Source organism: Homo sapiens, chromosome 12 (assembly GCF_000001405.40).
Source record: "Homo sapiens chromosome 12, GRCh38.p14 Primary Assembly".
Lineage (NCBI taxonomy): Eukaryota > Metazoa > Chordata > Mammalia > Primates > Hominidae > Homo > Homo sapiens.
The window spans coordinates 79,081,070-79,105,604 of record NC_000012.12 but is presented as its reverse complement, the minus strand read 5'-3'; the positions used below and the strand labels follow the sequence as shown (position 1 = coordinate 79,105,604).

At 34.6% G+C, this 24,535-nt stretch overlaps 1 protein-coding gene and 1 long non-coding RNA gene across 18 annotated transcripts in view; one reads left to right on the top strand and one right to left on the bottom strand.

Moving 5' to 3' along the window:
• Positions 1–24,535, bottom strand: part of SYT1 (synaptotagmin 1) — a 588,027-nt gene that overhangs the window by 346,404 nt on the left and 217,088 nt on the right. Inside the window, exon 4 of one of the 16 annotated variants that reach the window (NM_001415939.1) lies at positions 2,550–2,591. The exons of the other annotated variants lie outside the window; for them this stretch is intronic. The gene's annotated coding sequence lies outside the window, so the exon portion shown is untranslated. The remainder of the gene's footprint in view (positions 1–2,549; positions 2,592–24,535) is intronic. 16 annotated transcript variants of the gene reach the window in all.
• The window catches only part of LOC105369863 (uncharacterized), a 197,856-nt gene continuing 176,046 nt past the window's right edge, over positions 2,726–24,535 (top strand). Inside the window, exons 1-3 of one of the 2 annotated variants that reach the window (XR_007063385.1) lie at positions 2,726–9,919; positions 13,106–13,206; positions 13,452–24,535. The exon at positions 13,452–24,535 is cut by the window's right edge and continues 12,097 nt beyond it. This is a non-coding gene — a long non-coding RNA (uncharacterized LOC105369863). The other variant, XR_007063384.1, reaches the window with a different exon arrangement.

Sequence of the window (24,535 nt, the reverse complement as noted above, 5' to 3'; positions counted from 1 at the left end):
CCGGCCAAACTGCTTATTTTCTTATCTCCAATATCCAAAATACTTTGTCAACAATTGCTATATTAATCTACCCAAAGTTTACTGCTGACACATCACTTCCCTGCTTAAAGGAGTGCAAGGATTTTCTCCTGATTATGAAATAGTCTGATGTTTCATATTCTGCTTAACTCTAGTTCCTGTTTTATTTGTAGACTCATTTTCCATTACTCTTCCTTATATGTAACAATTAAACTGGACTCAATTCTGTTCTTCAAAATACTCTAGAATGGTTACTTTGTTAGTGCTGGACACGTTGCTAAGCCCTGTACATGCATCATACCAAGAAGTACTCATCACACATGGGAAGCTGGGCATCATCATTATTTTTGCATTAAAAATGAGAAGGCTGAAGCTCGAAAAAATAGATAATGTGGTCAACGCTAAACAAACAGGAGGTGGAAGAGCTAGAATTTGAAGCCAAGCCATTTGATCCCAATAGCCACCTATGTTCAACCATTGTGCTCTATGTGTTTTGAATTGTATTTTGGCTCTAGCTGTTCTTTCTGTCTTGAATATCTCCTTGATCCTGCACAGTATGATCTGTGTCTACCTCTCTAATCTGACCTCATTCTGTCCCACCGCCGTTTTGTTCTAGTTATTGTTTCTTGAACTCATGACCAATATTGTTTCAATCTCGGAATCTCTAATAAATCTATTTCCTTTTTCTGAAATGCTCTATTTGAGATTGGCTTTTAATATTTATTCAGATACTGTGTTTCCAGAAAGCCCTACCTCACAAAAAGGCCCCATTCTCTCCTCTTTCAAACAACTTTCAAGTTTGCTTGCAACTTACTCTTTCAAGCAACTTGCTATTATCCTATCTTATTATTGTAATAGAATTTATCAGTATCTGAACTTACCTAATTTATCTAGTATTCGTTTACCAGAAGCCTTTAGAGTAGGGTTTACTTAGTGCTGTTCAATTGATCTGTCTAGCCCTTGGACAAGTTCATAGTATGATGCTAAATTAATATGTGTGTAAGGAATAAAGAGATCCTTGCCTATTAATAGCCTACTAATACTTCAGGATCCAAATTAAAGCCATTATCCTGATGAAACATCAGGACTTATGCATCTCCCCATTATTTCCTAATCATAATTTTTATGGTCACTTTTTTCTCTAAATTGCCTTAGGATTTTGTAGCGATTAGGGAACATGCTATATATGTATTGTATATATATATCATGTACTGTGTTTTTAAAAATCCCTCTCCCTCCTAATTTGTAAGTTCCCTAAAGAGAGGTATGATCTTTTATTCAGTTTTGTAAGCAACAGAAATCCTTATTTATATACTTTCTACAGTTTTCACTAAATCTCTATTAAATTTGAAAAAAGAACTCTGTATTTTGAAGGACACATTGAGATGAGTGTTGTCTGATAGAGTAGACCAAATTACAAAAAAAAAAAAATTGACTCCATTGAATGATGTCAACATAATTTTTTTATAATAACATATCATATAACATTGCAATGTATTGCAAGAAAAACACTATTTTCCAGTGACAACAGCATATAATAATACTGTAAAACAATCCCTGTGCAGCTATTTTTAGTATAATTTTACTATTTGTCACTGTGGGAGCATTCAATTTTTCTATATTTCCTGCCTTATGTTCTTACAGTATGCATGTGGAATATCTATCAAGTGAAATTTACAGACCCAAGGGTAAGGTTGCACTGCTGGTGTGGGTAAGTACATATTCTTAAGAGAGCCCCATCCTCTGGCATTATCTGTTGAAGCTCTTATGGCTCATTTTCACACATATGAAAAATGCCTGCTCAGAGTAAATCTGTTCAAAATATGGTTAATTATCACAGATACAGTTTAACCAGGGAAGTTGAGTTGGACACTAAGAGGTCACATCATTCTTATTTCCCTAAAAATATTAGAAGCCACTATGAATCTAATATTATAACTACTTAAAATATTTTTATTTTATGGAATAAATATTATGCTATATTATTCAATTAAAACTTTTTGAATACCCTTTAAATAATTTCATATTTACTTACATAAAAGAATATACCTACTATCTGCCAGGTCAGTTTTTTAAAAAAAATTTTTAGTAAGGAAACTTTCACTCCTCATTCCATATCATAAAGTAAAAGATGAATGGATACAATTGAAAAAAACATTTAACATGTTAAATGAAAAAAATATCTTTTAGGACTTTGCTTATTCTGGAATTTTACTGGTTCACTATTTTCATTCCTCTTTCACTTTTATTTATTTTAAGTTGTCTATGCAAAGCCCAAAGATAAGGAAAATTTATTTTAAAAGTGGTAATGTCTAATTAAAGGATTAGGGATGATTTTTATATTATTTTCTTATTTGAATATTCATGTCTTCACTTTTTTGAATGAGCACACATTTTAAATGTAATAGGTAATAAAAAATTGCCACGATAAGTAAAACTTATCTGTGTTTAGGGAAAGCCACAGTCAATACTGCTTAAAGGCATTAGCTTGGGAATCATTGCTAATAATGAAATCCAATTTGAATACTTACTTGACCTGGGGTAAATGGCTCTGTGTACCTCAGTTTCTGTATCTGTAAAATGGCAATAATAATATTTACCTTATAGTGTTGTGAGGATGAAATGCTACAATGAATGTAAAGCATTTAAGAAAATACATGACAAATGCTCATATTCAAATTATTTCTCAGTGGAGAAAAAAGTTGGGTCCATTTTATGAAATTCTATTACCTAAAATCAGGATATTATCTCAGAGAACAAATGACCACCTACTTAAAATTTGTTGATTCAGAAATGGCTCATCCTTACTACTGCAAACCTCAATCTCATTTTATCTATACCACAAATATCAATGACAGCCAATGAGGTATTTCGAATATGTTTATACAAACAGTTGCACACGCAGTATTTGCTGAGTATTTACTTTGTACCAGGCACTGTGCTAAGTGCTGTGACACTGGAGATACAGTGGTAACAAGACAGTTGAGATGTGTGCTGTCCTGGTGCTCACATTCCACTACAGAAAGAAAGAAAACACACAAGTGAACCATACAGCATTTTAGTTATTGAAGTGCTAAGGAGGAAACACAGAGAGAAGGCTAAAGCGTAGAGTGGCTGCATCTTAGAAGCAGCACTGTTTTGGATGGGGCCCTTAGGAATGACCTTGCTGAAAAGGAACAACAGAAGTCTAGGGGAAGCTTTCCAGGGGTGGAAGTATTGAGTGTCATGTCTTTGTCAAAGTTAAAAAGTTGGTATGTACCAGGAACAGCAAGAAGCCTGTGCAGCTGTAGGAAGGACAGAGAGAGAGAGAGAGAGAAAGAGAGAGAGAGAGAAGGAAAGAGAGGGAGAGGGGACATATGTGTAGGTATATTTCTATGCACAGAAATCAATATTATAAAGCATTTTTTGCAGAATTTGGATTTTATTTATAATGTGAATGATACCCACAGGAGGAGTTCAATAAGCAGGGATATATTATGATCAAAGACCAATTAGGAGGCGATAAATGCAAGGTTTCTAAAAAAGATGTCTATTAAAGCATCTTTAGGAGTACAACCCTTATGAATAGGTAATTTTAAGATTTTGAGAATGTGATCTGTCTTGAACGCAATAACAAATGAAAAATACTATTTAATATCTTTTATTTTATTAATTAATTTATTTCAATTTTACTTATTATTTGAGGAAGTGTTTCACTCTGTCACCTAGGCTGGAATGCAGTGGCATGATCATAGCTCATTGCAGCCTCGACCTGTCAGGCTCAAGTGATCCTCTGGCCTCAGCCCTCGAGTAGCTGGGACTACAGGCATGCATCACCATGCCTGGCTAATTTTTTTACTTTTTGTAGAGATGGGGTTTTGCCATGTTGCCCAGGCTCTTCTCAAGTGGTTTCTACACCTCAACTTTGCAAAGTGCTAAGATTACATGTATAAGCCACCACACCAAGCTTATTTATTGAGGAAATTTATATATAACACAAACTTGACTATTTTAACCATTTTAAGTGGACAGTTCTTTGCCATTAACTACATTCACATTGTACAACCAACACCACTCTCCATCTTCAGAACTTTTCACCTTCTCTAAAACTTTGTACCTTGTATACTCTGACTCTCCATTCTTCCCTTCCTTCAGCACTCTACTTTCTGTCTCTATGAATTTGACAACTCTAGTCACTTCATATAAGTGAAATCATACAATATTTGTTCTTTTGTGACTGGATTATTTCACTTAGCATAATGTCTCCAAGGTTCATCCATTTTGTAACATGTGTCAGAAATTTGTTCCTTTTTAAGTCTGAAAAATATTCCATTGTACGGTTATACCACATTTTGTTTATTCACTTATCCACTGATAAGTGGTACTTGTGAATAGTGCTATGAATTATTTGGCTTGTGAATGATGCTTGTGAATAGTGGTACTATGAACGCCAGTGTGCAAATATCTGTTCTTACCTTACATTTTAAGGTACAGTTTTTCTGAATTCTAACAAAATAAATTCTGATCAGAATAATAAAACAAATGTAAAATAAAATGTATTGATAAATAATCTTATTTATTTCATTATGTATATAATATTGGAGAACAAAATAAGATTGGAATGTTTTCCATTGCAGTGAGGTAGAAATAACATACTTATTTTAAAGCCACAATGTGGTTTGCATTTTTTTCTTCACAGAGCACCTAAACATAATATAAAAATATAGAATTTACATATAAGGATTAAACCATTCTTCAAAGTTTTTAAAAAACAGTTATTATACATTTATGTGTTCTAAAGGTAGCTAAGTAATAAGTATAATTAAAAATCTAAATCAATTCCTATATTTACGAAACAGGTCAACTAAGACATATGTAATCAGCCTGTAAAATGACTCATTTATTGTTTTCTGACTATAAGAGCAATACATGATCATTCATTCTCTTATTATAGGGAATTTGGAAAATAGAGAAAACACAGTAAATTACTGCCACCCCATCATCTGATAATAAGTATTTTGGTTTATACCTTTTTAGTCTTTTTTTTCTATGTATATTTTCACTGCAAAACAGTTGTGTCTATATTGTTTTGTAAGATCCTTTCTCTCCTCCTCCTCCTTTCCTTCTTTTCCTTCCTCTCCTCTCTCCTCCTTACCTTGGTTCCTCTTGTTCAACTAATAATGTGTTAAAAGCATTTCCTATTATTATGACTTCTTAGCAGACCAGTTTTCACTGAAAAACCTTTAAGATATAGTATGACCTGGTGGTTAAGACGAGGTTTGGGAGCTAGATTGCATGAGTCCAAAGTTGGCTCTGCCACTTGCTAGGTGTGTGACCTCAGGCAATTTATTCAAATTAGTTACCTCTTTTCCTCATCATAAAATGGGCGATAAACATAATACTTCGTACAGTTGCTGTGAGTACTCAACAAAATAATATTAACGAACTCCTCCTTAAAACAATACCTCCAAAGAAGCACTCCAAATGTTCGTTATTATTATTTAACATACATCTATTTTTGAATATGCTTATATATAACGTATGAATAATATATTACTCTATTACTTTAAAGTTCAAAGAACATGTACAATTATTTAATCAAGTGTTAAATAATTTGACAAATCTTCAGAAATTTCTATGGCAAAATATGTTTACTGTGATTCTAAAGCTTTAGCATGCCTACGATTACCTGGAATGTTGAATGGAAATGCTTCCCCTGGGATTCTAATTTAGAGGATCCGGATTAGGAGTACAGAGTATTAGTGCTGTGCTTTGAAAAATGTGAACTAGATTAATCTCCAATTGAATCCAGTAAGCCAGTCACTGTCATAATTAGGAATTAGTGTCTATGCTATTTTTATAAAATCACACAGTACATTACTGACAATTTATTTCAAAGTATACCAGTGTTTGTTTTTAACACAGACACAGAAGTTAAAAAAAAAACTCATTCTTTTAAAGATATTTATCAATATATTCTTCACATTGTTAGAAATGACAAGCTATTTAAGGATTAAAAACCCTACTTTGTATTTACAGATAGACTACTTTAACCATCTGAGAAGTTGTGATTCCTCCAATATTTCTGATTTTTGAGTAATTGTTCACTGTTCTACCTCAAGAGTACATTTCTATCAAACCAGATGCCTTACAACTATGTGGTTTTAAATTATTAATTTTTATTTCTCTCTAAAGGATAACATTAACCAGGCATATGTTTATTCCAAATTGCATTGTTTTAAAACTCTCAGTGGCAATGAATAAATAATGTTTAGACAAAACGTTATTGTGCTAAAGCTTCTCTTTTATGTGGAAAATGGATTTTTTGAATTAATACATTTCTCAATGTATTAGTTGAGGGAGTAATTAATTGTAGGGAGTATTTAGTGACATCAGGGGAATTAACAGTTTTCTCAGGATCAGGACTGTAAGCCAAGTAGCAAAATTCACCTTCTGGCTGCATTGCCTTTATTTAGTTAAAGTTTATATAGGTTTGTCATTGCCAAGATTGAACAGAGTTACTAAGGATAGCACTAAGGTAACCTATTTATCTTTTCTTTTATTTCCTCCTTTCCTGTGCTTACAATGTAGAAAATTACCATTGGCTGCATTTTTTGGAATTATTTCCCAATTTGCCCTTGAGTGGCAGCAGTAAAGCTCTAAAGGATAAAAAGTCGATACTCATACATTGGACCAGTTGAAGTTGCTCTGCTACCAATCTGTGTAGTGTGCTGTTCACAGGTTCTAAAATGGCACGTGGAGAGGCAAAAATTTTCAGATCATGTTATGCTTAGATCAGATCTTTCTTAGGAGCTGCTTATTCACAAAGAGATTCAGTTCCTCAAAGGTCCTGATAGGAGCCTCTGCTAACACGTGGTTTTCTCCTGTTGTACCACAGCAGGGTACAACATGTTTATGATTGGACTGGGGCCAAGAGCCCAAGGATGGAAACATCGTACTAAGTCACCACTAACCAGAACATTAAATGTTTTTTTCTTAGTGAATAACTGGACACTGTAAAATAACTGTTTTGAGAACTACTTTAATATATTTAATTGAAACCACATCTTTATAACTTGAAATTCTAGTATACCCTTTGAGATGAGGTAACATAAATAATATTAACTGACATAGACAAATTTAGATCTAGCCAATATAAATAGTTTCTGTTGCTGGGTGTTTCATACTTATTGGGCTCTTGTTGCTAATACTTTGAGATTTTTCATTTCTAGTTTTATTATTTACATACAAAAAATTTTGTTAGTAGATGATGAATTCTGGAATAAAGAGGTTCAAGGTAACTTAGAATTATTAGGGGCCACTTTCTCCCCAGCTCATTTGGAGATGACAGTGTCGTGGAAGAAGTGATGGCTTTAGTGTCAGAAAGACTTACTTTGGGCAAGTTGTTGAGCCTTTTGCAGAGGGAGATTCGTGTATAAAAGTGGATGTTAACATCTCATTCATATAAATATTGAAAAATAAAATGAAATGAAGAATGTGAAACTTCTATGGTTTTGAACAGCATAGAAACTCATTAAATGGTGGCTGAGATAAAACATAAGCCCAGAGAGACTAGGAGAAAACAAAATAGAAAACATTTCAGGAGAACAAAACAAGTTTTTAAAAGACCATGCAATGTCTGGTAGATTTCAGGTAAATGTGTATGTGTGAGTAATATGCATGCTCACATGCACACACCCGAAATGGGCTCTTGTTTCACACTAAAGAAGGCGAAGAAACTAAGCTTTTCCCTAGTTAGGAACAAGCAGTGTTGCTTTGGGAGTCCTGGCTTTCCATCTCTAAGCAGGATACTTGAAAGTTTAAATTTTCTATCATTATTAAATATAAATGTACAGTTGTTATAGTTTTACTACTATTCCTTGGAGGAGAAGACAAATAGGTCATTTTCCAGAGGTCAATAGGACTGCTTATTTCTTGAATAAAGCTGGGTAAGGCCTCATTTGACAAAATCTTAGCTTTAGTTTGTGAGCGTGTTGGTTTTTCTAGAGGGACTTTCAAAGATTACACAGTATTTTATAGTGATACCAGCTGCTATAGGGAGTCATAAGAAAAGGGAAACATGTGTTTCTATAGGCCCTCCAAAAACTGCTTTCTAATACCTCAGAGGTTTAATCTCTTGTGGATAGATGATATCAATGACCTCTGGCTAACAGGTCATTCTGGCAGTCTCATGCATCTTAGAGGATGACAATATATTATTTTAATTATTTAAACCAAGGAATATATGCTTATGTACCGGATGTATGGCTGATAGCCCTCAGACTAGTTAAGACGGACTAGGCCTATTCAGGGTCTTGTGGACTTTGACTACTGCAGTAAGGGAATATACCTGTATTCTTTGGACAGTCTCAAATGTTGCTTTTGCTTCATCCCATGTCCCTTTTCACTCTACCTCTTCTACTTTTAGTAATTACATCCACATCTGTGGCTTCAGCCTTCCTGCTTTTGTAAAGATTCCCAAGTATGTAAGTAGCTGAAATCGAAGCCCCCTTACATGCAACACTTCCAAAATCAGGTATATTATCTTCTCTGCCCTGATTCAACCTCAGTCAATAATGTCTCTTCCGTACTTGATTGTGACTAATGGCATCTAGGAATTATCATTTACTTCTTCTTCTTGCTATTGTGCCCTTCTGTACTTGTCATCAACTGATGTGGATTCTGATTCCTAAAAATCACTTCAATCTTTCCCAGCCTCTTAATCTCTCTGACTCTGCTTTTGTCCCACCTCACTGTGAATATGGCAATGGACTTTTATCTCAACTGGGTACTAAATTTAATTCGACTCCCATATTGCTTTCAATGTGAAGATGTCATGCCCCTGCTCAAACTCCTTTAATAGCTGCCCCACCAGTATCTACCCTGATCTTTCATGATTCTTCCTTCCAATCACACCTAGTTTCTTTCCTCCAAATGGGTCATATTGTTGCATTCCTCTGTTCCTTTTAACATACTGCTTATTTCACCTAAAATGCCTCCTTTCAAGGGGAAACTCTGTCTCATCCTTCAAGGTTCAACTAAACAACATCTCTGCAGTGTAATATTCCTCAGCTGCCCCAGGAAGTGTTAAGAAACGTATCTTCTGGACTACATCTGTTAAAGCATTAATCACACTTAGCAAAGTGTCTCTCAGGAGATCAAAAGATCCCTGCTAGCTGGTATATTGTTCCACCTGACCAATGCAGGAAACCAAAATACATCACCTCAGAGTGTACCTCTTTGGCATATTTTGAGACGGCTATTCAGAGGGGCTGCAGACACAAGCATAGCTCTGAAAAATCTATCCTTTTGTAAAAGAAATTTACATCTATCTATATTAATAAAGCAAACAAAAGTTGCAGGGAGAGGCTTTTTCTGAGGTCCCTTTTTTCTAAACCTAGGAAAGATTAAATCACAGGAAAAGGGAATTAAAGAAAGGTCTGACACTTTTAAAGGTCTGACAGAGAAATTATCACTACAGGTTATGATCTATTCTTTCTGTGGGCTATTGCCTGAGAGACTTTATCTGTACAATGAAACAACAGCCTTTGTTCACAGTGCATTTCTTCCCCTCATCCTCCCATAACCTGCCACCACAGCCCTCAGGACCGCCAAGACTCTATCCTTCCTGTACAATATGAAAACGTCAGCCATCAGGCTCTTTTTTGAGTCTCATATTTTGTGTGACTCTCATGCTCATGTGCATATAATAAATTTGTATGTGTTTTTACCCTGTTAATCTGTCTCTTGTCAGTTGGTTTTATAGACACAAATTATTGAATCTTCAGAAGGAAGAGGGAGGAAAGTTGCCTTTGTCCCTAACAGTTTTGGTGAGCCCAGGCAGGAGAACAAGTCACTCTGCTCAGTTTAGAGGCTGTAAATGGGACCCTGGGACAACTAACAAAAAAGCCAGCCAAGAAAGGTAAGAATTTTTACCAAGGTCAGTATTCCCAGATCTCTGCCTTTAGAGCCCAGTTGAGTAAGAGTGGCAAGAGTCACTCCTTGTCTCTTTTTCCTTCAAATTTGGAGTTGCTGGTGAAAACAGGTCTATAAATGAAGTCTTTTATTGATTTGAATCACTTTTGTAATAAATAAATTGGTTATATGTAGAAAAACTCTCATCTTAACTATTGCTATCTATGAAAAGATCAAATTAAAAAAAAGAAGAGACACACGTAAATATAACTGTTACCCTTAAAGACTCCTTTGGCAATATTAAAATAATAAAAATCAGTTTTAGAACAAAGTTAAAATCCTTTTAAATGAGAAAAGTTTTTGGATCTCTGGGCTCCAAAGTTTAAAACTTCCCTTCTCTGAATCCACCTCCATTTTTTTCAGTACATTTCTTTAGCTCAGGAGATAAATACTTGTAAGAATTAGTTTATAAGAATTTATTTGAATTATTTGTTTTGAATTTGTATAACTCTTGACTTTTGGGGTACTCGTTTGATAATGATCCTCTTCCCTCTCATGAATGGCTTTTGTTTTCCTGTTTGTCTTACCAACTGTTGTCTTTTTTAAACATTTTGTCTACTGAGGGCACACAGGTTATTAGGCCCTCATGTATGGGTGGCCTACCAAAAGGTTGAGAGACCCACAAATATGGCTGGACAGAAATATGGGTTGTACCCCATTTTTGGCAAGCAAAGCTTTTCTTTCTTTTTGACTGCCTTTCTTTTGGGAGTGGCTTTGGATTTTCAGCAGCCTGTATCTTTTTGCTCTAACTTTAGACACTTGGTTAAAGCCATTAAAAGGCTTATTAATTTAGGTCATGAGAATTATTTTTGCTGTTGAGTTTCTTGTAGATATACCTTTGTTTTAGGGCTGTGGTTCATACTCAGAGCATAATAAGAATTTCTTTGCCTTCTCTCCTAAGCTAAAATGGAACTATATACTCAGGGAAAAAAAGCTATTTAAAAATTTAAAACAAATGAAAAATCTTAAAGGTCTTTTCTATTAATATTGATAAAGGGTTTTGACCATTGTAAACAGGTAGTGTTAACTTGGTTAATACTTCATAAATTGGTGAGTTTTATATTATTGTATCTGTCTAAAGTTTTACAATAAAAACTATAATATTTTTGTTTGTGTCCTATCTGTATGTTTGTATATGTTTATACATGTGTGCATGTATGGTGCAAGTTGTATCTACATGGGATAAAATTTCTTGGAAGAATTTCAAATTGGCTTAAAGAAAAATTTGTTCTTATGAATTAAATACTTTTAAAACTGCTAGAAATATGGTAACAAACTCAAAGGCTTTTCAAGTTCATGTGACTTGGGTAAATCTTTCACAAATAGGACTAGCTTAATGCTGTTGGTTTTAAAGTAATTAAATAGATGTAAGTGAGATAAAACTTTATAAATTTAATTTTTAACAATAATTATGATTTATAATATATACTTTCAAAGGTTTCTCAAATCTTTCAGGTAACTACACCCTTAAAGTATTGCTAAACTAAATTAGATAATGAATATTCTTTAAATAATTAGATCATTTCCAAATAAGATATAATACTGGAACATTAATTGTTAATCATACATTTTAGCTTATTTACTTTTAACTTCTTGTTACAAGAGAACTAAATATATTTGGTTTGGCTGGTAAATATGTCCTGATCCACATTGTAAAATTACTTTATGAGAAAGCTTTTGTTTCTAGAAATTATGAAATCTATTGATAACATGTTGGTACAATGCCAGTTCAAGATTGTTTACTTCCTAGATTTTCACTGGAAAATAAGATTACTAAGAATTGAAATTCTAATTAATATATGTAATTAAAACTACTAGAAATAAGATAAAAAATTCTGTATGTAAGTGTAGAAGGAAACTAGGATGTGTTTTTGGTGAGGAAAGTTATAAGGAAGGCATAAGGATTTTTTGTTGTTGAAGAAAAATAATTATTCTAGTTTAAAGGTTGTTTCAGAATGAAGAAATGATACATAAAAAGCTGAATGACAGTTCAAGAGAGTTGGGTAAAGAGAGTGAGAGAAAATATTGTAAGGTTAAACTGACTAAAGTTGAATAAAATTATTATAAAGGTTTCAGAAATGAGCTTTAATAGAAAAAGTGCACTGGTAAAAAACTAAACTTTGGTCTTCTCTTTTAAAAACAAGAGTATTGATAGATTTTGCATTTTATCAAAATAATTTCCTATGCTTTATACTGTCTTTATTAGGTCTTTGATTACTTAGAAAAACTGGGTTAAAGAATTAAACTGTTTCTATAATTATGTAACTTCCTGCATTTTATTTTGAAGTCTTTAAATTGCCATTCTGGTTAAATGAATTTAACAGTAACCTGTGATCTTATTTTTGATCGAATGCTTCGAACCTTTATTTTTTAACAACCTTCTCCAAATCAAAATTAAGTCTTTTTGACCTCAGACTAACTTTTGGGCATTCCAGAAGGACCCCTAGCAGTACAAAAGAGAGATATTAAACAAGTTAGGCCTATTTAATACGCTAAGTTATATGGGAAGCACTCCAAATAGCAAGTGATGTTTAACCTTCTTTGAGTTACAATTTTATACATGTGTTATTCACATGTATGTTTAACCTTCTTTGAGTTATAATTTTATAGATATGTTATTCACATGTATTCCAAAATTGTATGAAATTTCTAGAAATTTATATCCTAGTGTACATTATCAGTAATAATTATGGTTATTATGTTAAAGCGTTGTGTGCCACAACACATTTCCTTGTCAATGACTTGTTATGAATTCTCATTAGGTTTTTAACCATGGCTATTGTAAGTTTTTGTCATTGACAGACAGTGGTTTTGCTTCTTCTCTAAAAGCATCTTGCAGTCAGTTATAGCCCCAAATTGCTTTTCTTCAATGAAATTTATAGAAAAGACTCTCACAAGTACCATTGAATATAGTTTTCTGATGATTTTGAGATCGTAGTATTTGACTGGGTAAGAATTCCGAACTTCAGTGAAAAAACTGAACTCAAAAAACTACTAACCCAACATCAAGCAGAATAAGAATTATTACATGGGACTAAAGCAATGAAAGATTATGATTTTATGACTTTTTTGTTTGGCACATGGCTTATTCTTTCATGTTTCATTTTCCACATTAATTTTTTTTTTCTTTCAGCTATCTACAGTTTACGGGAATATGGGAAGGTGTACTTTTGTGTGCAGAATTGAAATTTTTTTTTCTCCCTACCTGATCCCTCCAGAGTTTGGAGACTATTTGTGAGTATTCTTATTTCAATAACAATATAGTTATTTGCTTACATTTAAGAAGAATCTATTCTCTTTCTAATAGGACACAATTGGAAACATTGGCCATATTACCAAGGCTTTGCCTGACATGTCCTATTCTGAGATATGACCAGATTGCTCTAAGGAATTAAAGTTGACTTTATAAAGCCAATTAAAACCCCTTGGAAAATCTATCTTGATATCTTGGATAAATAATTAACATGGTTGATTTACAGGTGAGAAAAAATGTCACTTCCTGAGAGGCCCTGGAACCTGAATATATTTTTGGGAACCTTGAGAAGAGAAGTATTCACTCAAGTTTAAAGGTATTACAGGCACAATTTGAGGGTGACTCCTCCTTGGATTGGCTTCCCAGCCTCAAGAGGCTTTCAAAAGTTTAATCTGAGATTCCTTGTGAAAAGTTCCAGCAAAGCAAAATTGAAAATGAGCTTATATGATTAATCATCATTTTGCTGTACTTCTGTAAATTATTAGGCAAAGTATAACAAGCCTAAAACTTATTTTGCAAACAAATTAGTTTTATTGTGATTAACTTTGGTAAAAAGGGGGGAACTCGAGAGAGAAAAATTATGACTTAAAAGAAAACTACAGTGTATCTGTTATTAGATTCTAGCTCTGTTCATTTTTTTGAGATTTTATTATTTACCTACAATTTAGACTGGATTCTGAAATTGTTAGTTTCCTCTAATGTCTGACTGCAACTCTCCAAAATAACATTTTCACTTTTTTCTCCAATTTTTTTCTGACTTGGAATCACTGAAATTAAATGTGCCTTTTTCTTGAAGCCCTGAAAGCTGAAGCTGGTTGACTCCAGATAAATCACAATAACAACTTAAAATCTGTCAGATTGTCACTGTCTATCCACACTTCAACTGAAGATGTTTTGAGGCCAAATCTAGAAATCTTTTCAACTGCTAGACTCAGAACTAGTTTATATGCTGCTTCAATTATTAACTTTTGTCTTTCTTTTGTTTCTTTAGAGAAGCCTCATATTAAAAACTTGTTTGCTTACACCATGTAGAGACTTAACTGTGGGAACCCTGCAACACCACTTCCTAAAATGAGACATTTTTCTACTTATTCCAATATATGTTTTTCTTCCCTTTGCTAATGTCTTATCTCAAAATGTCTAAAGCAAATTTTCCACAGTTATCAATCCTATTTTAATATGTAAAACTTTCTGAAAATAAATTTCAAAGAGGGGACTGTGGGAAACCAAAATATGCCATCCAAAGCGTGCCTCTTTGGCATATTTTGAGATGGCTATTCAGAGGGTCTGCAGACACAAAGCATGGCTCTGAAAATTTATCCTTTTGTAAAATAAATTTACATGTATATATTAATAAAGCAAACAAGGGATGCAGGCAGACGGTTTCTCTGAGGTCCTTTTATTTGAATCTAGGAAAGATTAACTCACAGGAAAAGAAGACTAAAGACAGGTTTGACACTTTTAAAGGTCTGACAGAGAAACTATTACCACAGGTTACCATCTACTCTTTTTGAGGGCTATTACCTGATAGACCTTCTCTGCACAATGAAACAACAGCCTTTGTTCACAGTGCATTCTTCCCCTTACCCTTCCATAACCTGTCACCACAGCCTCCAGGAGCTTCAGGCCTCTTTTTCTTTCTGTATCATATAAAAACCTTAGGCCCTTCTTTGAGTCCTGTATTTTGTGTAGCTCCCTGTGCACGTGCATGTAATAAATTTGTATGCTTTTTCCTGTGAATCTGTCTGTTTGGTTTATAGGCTCAAATTATCTAACCTTCAGAAGGGGTAAGAAAAATTCCCTTCACTCCTAAACCAACTTATTATCTAGAAAATTATGATGTACATGAACCCCAGCACTGCTTATGGGTCTCTGATGGGGCGAATTCTTCAGGAATGAGGGAGTATTGGCTGGATGGGCAAAACAGGAAAGTGTGAGAGGTGTTTTGAGATACCATAATAATTGAGGGAAGATACGAAAGAGCAAGAAACCAAATGGAGGCAGATATATTGGAGTGATGTAGTTTTGGCTGTTAAGTGGGACTGGAGAAAAAAGTTTGCTATCCTACACCTTCAACACCTTCAGTTTGATTTATTGTATCAAAATTTGAACAGGCTGTACCAACTTACAATGAGATCTATTCTCCACATCTTAAAAACTTTTTAATGGGATAGTTTTACTACAATAAAAATAAATTGTGTTTTCAAGTAGAAAAGATCATTTGTTCTATCTTCAAAACATATTACTGACTAAAAGCAAGCAGGAGGTATAGTAAATAAGCTCTTATTGAAAAGACAAGTCTCAGGAAAAAGTAGACATAGTTTTAGGCTATTTTTCCATCTCACTAGGGTGTTAGCCCACACAAAACAAGCTACAGAGATTATTTTCACCCTCACGTTGTTACATAGTTGTTGTTGGAATAATCACATGGGGAGCAATCAATGCCACAAAAATGTTTCAATACAGATGTGTTTTTCCTCTGAGTTTTGAGTGAATTAGGGTACAGATAAATGAACCTGCACAGGGGAGGAGAAACTACTACAGTGTATTTTCTTCAAATAGACCAGGGTTCAATTTGATTTGGAGTTTAGCAAATTAAACGCAAGAGATAAAGAAACATTGAGTGTTTGCTCTCAATTCTGGTATGAGACAAAATGAGGTAGTAGCAGGATACTGAAAATTATTTTTGGGATATGTGAGGTGAGTGTTACCCCTTGTTATCATATTAAGACAGATATAGGGCCTTGGATCTGGGGTCTCAGCAAACTTGAATCCTTTGCATAAGGGAATAGTTTGAATTTGAACCAATGGAGCCTGTTATTTCAATTTGTGTCCTTGTTTGGGCACAAGCCTTTTTTTTTTTCTTTTCTTTTTTTTTTTTTCAGTTGACTTCCACAAGTGATTACTGAGTGGCAAGCATGTACCAGGTACCATGCTAGGCAGAGGCAGTAAAATGATGAATAAAACACAGCAGAATTTACAGTTTGGTGGGATAGCAAAACACAGAAATAGATAACTCAGTATAATGTGGTGAATGCTAAGAGACTTAGCTCAAATCAGCTTGTTTTGAAAATTTTAACTGTTGCCAAGCTACTAGTAAATGAGTTCAAATTGTCCACTTTAGCCTTCTAAACCCTGATTGTTTCTGTGCAGTTTTAATTCTCATTACTATACTGTGTGATCTTTCTGATTCAGATCCAAACAGATTTCTCTTTTATGAGCCTTATTGTCTCCCATTTCTCACCTTGGATCTTGAAGCCATAGTAACATCTTTCTCACATTCTTTTCTCTTTTATCTCTATCCATCTTTCCTAACCCAGGTTAATTCCTTGGTCTTTTGCAATACCATATTATATTCACTGATTTATTATTAACATGTCTAAAATGGAAATTTTCATTCTTGAAGCCAGTTTTCTTCCTCATAAATCTTCTCCCATCTCAAGAAATGGAAGCTTCTATTTTTCTGCTTAGGCCAAAATTCTGGAACCTCTCTTTGTTGAATGCCACATATCTACTCCATTAGTGAATTCTGCCTAGTAAACCTCCAAAATATATCCAGATTTTGACCACTTCTCTCTGCCCCCTCACACACACACACATACACACACACACACACACACACACACACACACACACACACAGGCCCAAAGCCACTGTGATCTGAATAACCTTCTGATTCTTCTGTTCTCTCCATGTTTGCGCTCCTCCAATCTATTCAGAGTGCATAAGTAATTCTTTTAAAACCTAAGTTAGATCAGGTTCCTTCTTGGCTTAAAATTTTGAAGTCTCACCATGGCTTATAAATCCCTCTGTAATCTGTGCCTTTCCCTCCTCCAGCAAGTCTTTCAACTTCGTTTCTTTTTATTTACTCCCTTCCTCAGCCACTCCGCTCTGGCCACACGGTTTAAACTGCATGAAAGCCAGCCTTTGCTCTGCTGACGTTCAGTGCCTAAAACAGTGCGTGGCATGTCTCTACTAATTATTATTACTAGTATCGTTTTGTATGCCTGTTTCCTGTTAACCTGTCTATTGTCAGTTTGTTTTACAGACTCAAATTATTGAACCTTCCGAAGGGGGTAAGGAAGATTCCCTTCACCCCTAAACCAACTTCTTGTTATCTAGAAAATTACTAGTAATAATAACTGGCTAGTAACTAGCCAGTTACTAATAATAACTAATTAATAACCAGTAGCAGTTACTAGTAATAATAACTGGCTTATATAACCCTGATTTTGAGACCAATGCTAGTCTATGTTAATAACATATTAATCTCATTTTTTCCTTACCATAATCATAGGAGAGAGGCCTGGTTATTATGCTAATTTTACAAATAAAGAATTAAGGCACAGAGAGGCAGTAGGCACTCAATAAATATTGGTTGTGTTATCCCATTCAACTAATAGTCACTGAGTGTACCCTAAGGGCCAGTTCTCCAACTTGAAAACTCAGAGGAATATCAGTTTGTGTATCTCAGGGAGTTTCTGTAAGAGGGAGGAAAAAATGAACAGTTGAAAGCAGGAAAGTGTTAAATATAAAGCCCCATGCAAATTGTTCAGATGCCCTATTTCAATTACTTTCACTTGGAATATTTTGGTTAACAAATTACTATACCTGAGCTTCTATCATGGATTGTCACTATTTTACTCCTTTTCATCCAGCTGAGACATCACTTTCTTCAGAAAGTGTTCCTTCAACTCCCAGAATGAGTTAATGCCATTCTCTTCTGTTATCCCTCTGCCTGGTGTATGTTACTCACCACTGGGCTTGATGCACCTTACTCATTCTTTGCCTGCAAAGCTTCCCCTCCACCAGACTAGGAACTCTCTGAGGACAGGAACTAGTCCTATTCATCACTCAATTACAAGTCAGACATACAGGAGGTGCCAAATACATGCTTGTTAGATGAATAGATGAGACAGCAACACAAATTGTGACTAACAACTTAAAGAAATATAATATTAACATAAATGAGCATTAAACTGCACATTCAAGAAGAGAAAGTTCATTTGGTTTCCTGAGATAGAATTCAAATAAATGTCCTATTTAGATTAATTACCATAAGTTAACGAGTTCCATAAGAGACTTGTGATAACTCTCCTTCTGCTTTTTTAATAGCTGTCCCATAAACCTGACACTGAAGTTCCATTTGCAATGAAAGTCACAGAATAACCATGACTATTACAAATTTTGGAGATGGATTAACTGCTCTGCAAACATAATGCCAGCAACTTAATTCAAAACAAAGACATATTTTAGAATCATAAAGCTAGAAAAGGCCCGAATTGTGTACTAACACAGCTGTGAAGGTAACGCTGCAGACTCGGTTTCAGTTTTTCATTTGTTTCTGACTGTTGTAACTCTGGTTTTTTATACTTTAGTTCAATCCTATCAGGCTATTTCAAGCTTGTCAGAATATAAAGTCAAAAGAGTATTACAATGGTGATTGGAAAGAACATAAGATTAATTTGAAGTAGAAAAAAGGCATTTTATAAATGAATGTGAAATGCCTGGAGGCCTACCAAGAATACCCGGCCATGCATTAGTTTTTCAGCTTAGATATGCTGCACACAGCACGCAACAGCCTTGGGAGAAAACCCCACATCACATGTCATTGGAAGCTGCTCAGCCAGGCACACAGAAAGGCACCTTGCACCAATGATATTTGACAACCCCGGCAGTGATTTTTCTGCTTCAGTGGCTAACTTGTGCAAAGTCACGGCAAGCCAACACACAAATAGTTCACAAAGAACTAAGCTGTTAGGATCATCTTTACAAGGCAGTAACCATGATGCTTCTTTTAATGAACATTTCACATCCTGCGAAGCCAGGAATGATTCAACCACTAAAATGTCCAGAAAAGGGAATACTAAACTTCTGGGGATGAAAGAAAGTTTCTAACAAAAATGCTATTAGTTCAATATTCATTTTAATCTGCAGAAAATATTTTTCGTCACCGTGTTCTGAGATTGGTACTTCATTCCTCAGTATCTTTTAATCTAAACTAATCACATTTTATATTTCTAGTGCCTGATAGAGAGTAGATATCTTGACAGGAAAGTAGGAAAAATGACGGAGGCTAAAAAATTAGTCACAGGCTCACACACACACATATACCTATACACAGCTCCCTTGTGCCAGACAAGTGTTAGGTTTTTCTCATGTATTTGATCACATTTATATAACAATGATGATGATGATGATGGTGATGGTAAATTGATCACAGATCACTTTATTGATTTCTTCTTTATGTTCTAGATTCTTTTCTAAGTGCTTCACATGAATTATCTTAATTAATATTCACAATAATCCTGTAAGGTTAGTAAACTGCTTGTAGAGTAGTTAAGTAATTTAGTCAATATTCAGACTGACTAGTAACTGGAAGATCTGGGATTCAAACCTGGTGATCATATTATGGGACCCTCAATTTTCTCCTTAATTAATTTAATCTTAGAGTTCATCTTGTCCACTAATTTTTACAAAGATTTCTCTGAGTTGTTCCAAAGTGCTTCTTGAAATGTCTCTGAGGATTTGGGGAGAGTACTCAAAGTCCCATCTCAGGCTCAGGTTTACATATTTAACATTTGCTTAAAATTTCAAGTGAATAAAGGACTGTAGGAGTCAAAACAGACCTGATAACTGCTGTATTGTTCTTGTTCAATGTTTTCATTTACATAGATGAGGAAACTGGAGCCTGGAGAGGTGAAGCTCAGAGTCCCAGGTGTTATGGTCCTACTCCTGGTTACTGGCAGTTCTCTAATTAGGACCCAATTCCCTAGACTTTGGTTACATCTTTCTATGCCATTGTGAGCCCAAAGAAAGGTACACATCACTGACAGAACATGGTCATAACACTTCAGTGGCCTCCACTGTGAGCACTGGAGGAGGTGTCTGCCCTGGGACATGGCCAGTTGCATTTTCCACCACATATAAACTTCCTGGATGACTTAAAAACCAGAAGAGACGGACTAAGATTTTCAAGCATAAGAGTCATTTTTGTATAGGCTGAGCATCACTAACACAAAAATCCAAAATCTGAAATGCTTCAAAACTTGAAACTGTTTGAGCACAGACATGACGCCACAAGTGGAAAATTCCACCTCTGCCACATTAATTTTTCACTGTAGTAATGGTATGTCATATTTCTTACTGCTAATACTTATGTGTGAGTAACTGCAAGAAAATGATTGCTTATCATTAGCATATAAATTCAGAGTCAGGAATGATGGTGATGCCAAACAACTACAGGTTGTCCACATAGGTGGCTGAGACAGTGACACCTCTGCTTTCTGATAGTTCAACATACACAAACTTTGCTTCATACAAAAATTTTAAAAAATATTGTATAAAATTATCTTCAGGTCATGTGTATAAGTACTCTATGAAATATAAATGAATCTTGTGTTTAGATTTGGGTCCCAAACCCAAGATATCCCTTTATGTATATCAAATATTCCAAAGTTTGAAAAAAATCAAAAAATTCAAAACACTTCTGGTCCCAAGCATTTTGGCTACAGGATACTCAACCTGTATTATTTTCTTTATACATCTGATTAACTACTTTATCTATATCAAATTCTATAATACACATCAAAAAAATTAAATCATAAGCTTAAGGTTAAACAATTTTGTTCTTTTTAAAATTTTACTTGTAGTATATAATTGATATATTACACTGGTATCAAAGTTATAGATTGGCCAATTGTACAGGCCTTCCTCTGAACCTTAGAAAACATCTACTAGTATTCATAAAGAGCATGTAGTGTAGAATTATGGTTCTCAAATGTTTTTAAGCTGTCATATCCTCTGCAAGTCCAGTGTGAATATCACTAAAAGTGAAAGAGTGCAGCAGTCAGATATGGACTTTAATCTGGACCTCAGATTTAGGCAAAGCACTGAGCCTCTTGGAGTCTCGGTCTCCTTACATAGAATGATGGAGTCACCACTGCATGGTTATTTGGAGGGTATCAGGTTAATTATGTAAGGTAGTTGGAGACTAGTGTATGTTCAACTAATTCTCACTATTAAAGTACCATTTACCCTCATAATATCTTTATGCTAATTATGTTTTTATTCCTGAAATTTTAATAATATCTAGATGAATGAATAAACTATGTGTCCATCAACATTTATGGAATATTTATTCTAGGCATAGTGACAATTGTTTTATATAGGCAATATTAGTACATTGCATCACAGTACTGTGAAGTAGATTCCACTTTATTAATGAAAATAATGAATCTTTAAAAGGAGAAATAACTCTTTTAAAAAATTCACATCTGGTAAATAGTTACATCTGAACTGCTCCACACCTGATCTCAAAGCACACCAACAGCTACTCTATACATATGCACTTCTGTGACATAGGACACCCTCAACCTGCCTCTCTCCTTGACAAACTGCTGTTTTAGTTCTTGTTAGGAGATATGCTCATTTGTGAATCTTCCATTGTGATTTTGATTTTATGAAATACAAAAATAATATTACAAAGGATGTCCACTTCCATGAACACAAAGATGTTCGTGTTGACATCTTTGCATCAGTGTTCTCTCTCTCCAAGAATCAAATATTAGATATCAGCTAAAGCTTCTTCTATTATTTTGCCCTCCCTTCCTTCTCAAATGCAATCATTTTGCTGAAGTTGGTGTATATTACATCTCCACATAATTTTATATTTCATAAAATATGGATATCTATATAAACAATATATGTAATGCTATTTTCTAGACTTAAAGATTGTATATAAATGCATTTTTTACATTAATATACGTTTTACAACTTTAAATACTTTAATACTCTTATTTTTAGCAATTTGCTTTTTAAAAATCATATGGCTAGTATAGTATTTTTCAGCCAATACTATTTATCTGTTTTCTTACTAAAAATAATTATGTTGTTGCTATGTTTCACCTTTACAAAGGGAGCTGACCTGAGCATCCTGGCCCATAACTCCTTATGGAAATGTGTGGGAGCTACTCTAGGGGATTCATCTACTAAAACTGCTGAGTCATAGCTCATAAGCCTGTTCAAATTCACCAGGTGTTTTGAAGATACTCTCCTTTGCAGTGGTACTAATTTATACTTCAGTCAGTAATGTATATAAGTCTTATCTTTTCACATCTTCACTAGTACCTTGGTTTTTAAAAATTAATTAATTTCAATCAACCTCCTTTATTAATATTTCAGAAGTTGCTAGTGAGCTTTAACGTTTGATATATTTATTGACATTATAATTTTTTCCTCAATGAAATATCTGATGTTATCTTTTACCTATTTTTCTTCTGGATTATTTATTTGTTTTTTAAATATATTTTCTTAGTCTTGACTTGTTCTTTCATGTTTTTTACCTTTTTTTTCATTTGTGTCTGTTTGTTTCTTTTAATCCTCTTGGAGTTATCTTTGACAATCATTTCTTTTATTGCTTATTTTATTTTTGTTTTTTCATTAAAAAATTTTTCCTTTACCTGGAAGCTACTCAAAGCCTGAGAAGACGTGTTCACCTGGCAAGGACCATTCTCACAGGCAGGTTTAGCTCATATACCCCTCAGGCCAGGCTTTTCTCAGAATCTAACACATGCACTGGGGCCTCACCTTGGACCTCCCCTAACTGGTCCCTGCCTCTTCCTTGGCTCATGAAGTAAAAATTCTTGCCTTAGCTCTTTCTTTCAATAGTTCAGCAGGGCAGGAGGCCTTAGCAGCTGATTGGCTCAGATACAGCAAGCAGCAAGGGTTCAGGGATATATTCAAGCCATCCTCTTCCCATAATTCTCTGATAGCTATTTTCCATCACTGCTCAACTTATTTTCTTCGTAACACATATTATAAGGTATATGTTTATGTATATATTATTTTCTTATTCATTTATTGTCTGACTTCTGCTCTGTTGTACCAGTTTCCTGAGGATAGGGATCATGTCTGTTCAGAGCTAACATACTTGTGCTTAGGGTACTTCCTGGGATATAGTAGGTGCACAAAAATTTATGGTAAATGAACTAATAAATGAATGATTAGATTTTCTTATTCTCCCTGGAAAGTTGCTATCCTGTGATGTTTATTGAAGCTACTTCTTGCAGACTGTTGAGTGGGAGATGGGTCTCTAAGCCTTTGTGGAAACATACAGAAAAGAAGACAAAGGACACCAACCCACAAACATTTTTAAAAATAATAAAAGATTAAAAAATGACAAAACTCTGAAAAAAGGCTATATAACTTCCTCTCTAAGAAAGCATCTATAAAAGGTCAAAATTCCTTCCAAAATCTGTGTTGAATTCACACAAGCCTTTCAATAGATGGGCATTTGAGGTCCAGCTTACTACATTATTCATCTTGGCCACAATAGTTTCAGTAGGAAAAAGTTTTAATGTCAATGTATGTACTACTTCTATTTTGTAGAAAAATAATTTTCTATTTTTTCTATATATTTTTGTATTTATTTCAGGTTTGAAAATAAGAGGCTTATTGTGACAAATACTCCTTTACAGTGAGATGAATTCAATGGTAAAGCAGTCACTTGTGCTCTTAGAAGCTCCTGGGGAAAGCAGAGCAGAAGTACTTGAATTGACAGAGAATATGCTCCATCAGAGAAACAAATTGTTAATTTTAAATTTGATAGGAAGAAGAAACTGTGGAATACAGAGAGAAATGAGGACGAATGACTAGATACAGAATAGGCCTCACATGTCACTTGTAGAAAAAGTGAACTTGGGCTGGGCACCGTGGCTCACACCCGTAAGCCCAGCACTTTGGGAGGCCAAGGTGGGCTGATTGCCTGAGAGCAGGAGTTTGAGACTAGACTGGCCAACATGATGAAACCCGTCTCCACTAAAAAATAAAAAAATTAGCTGGGTATGGTGGCAGGTGCATATAACCCCAGCTACTTGGGAGGCTGAGGCAGGAGAATCAGATTAACCAGGAGACAGAGGTTGTAGTGAGCCAAGATCATGCCACTGCACTCCAGCCTGGGTGATAGAGTGAGATTCTGTCAAAAAAAAAAAAAAAAGTGAATTTGTGTGACATAACAGTGTCTCAGATTCCACTGTGGAGGTAAAAATGTAGTAATTTGCTTTTTTCTTTTCTTTATAGATTTTATACATGAGCGTTAAAACGTTCATAGGTATATGGCCTACTCTGGAAGGGGAGAAGACACAAGGGGGCTGAGTAGTAAGCAGCAGGTTATGTGTGCAAGGTGCACACACACGTACACATGCATATGCACAGGCACACAATAGCTTTTGATATAACATATAGCTCTTCCAAGATCTCTGTCTTTTTAAAATCTTTTCAGTCCCAAACTTTTATCAGTTCCTTTACAGA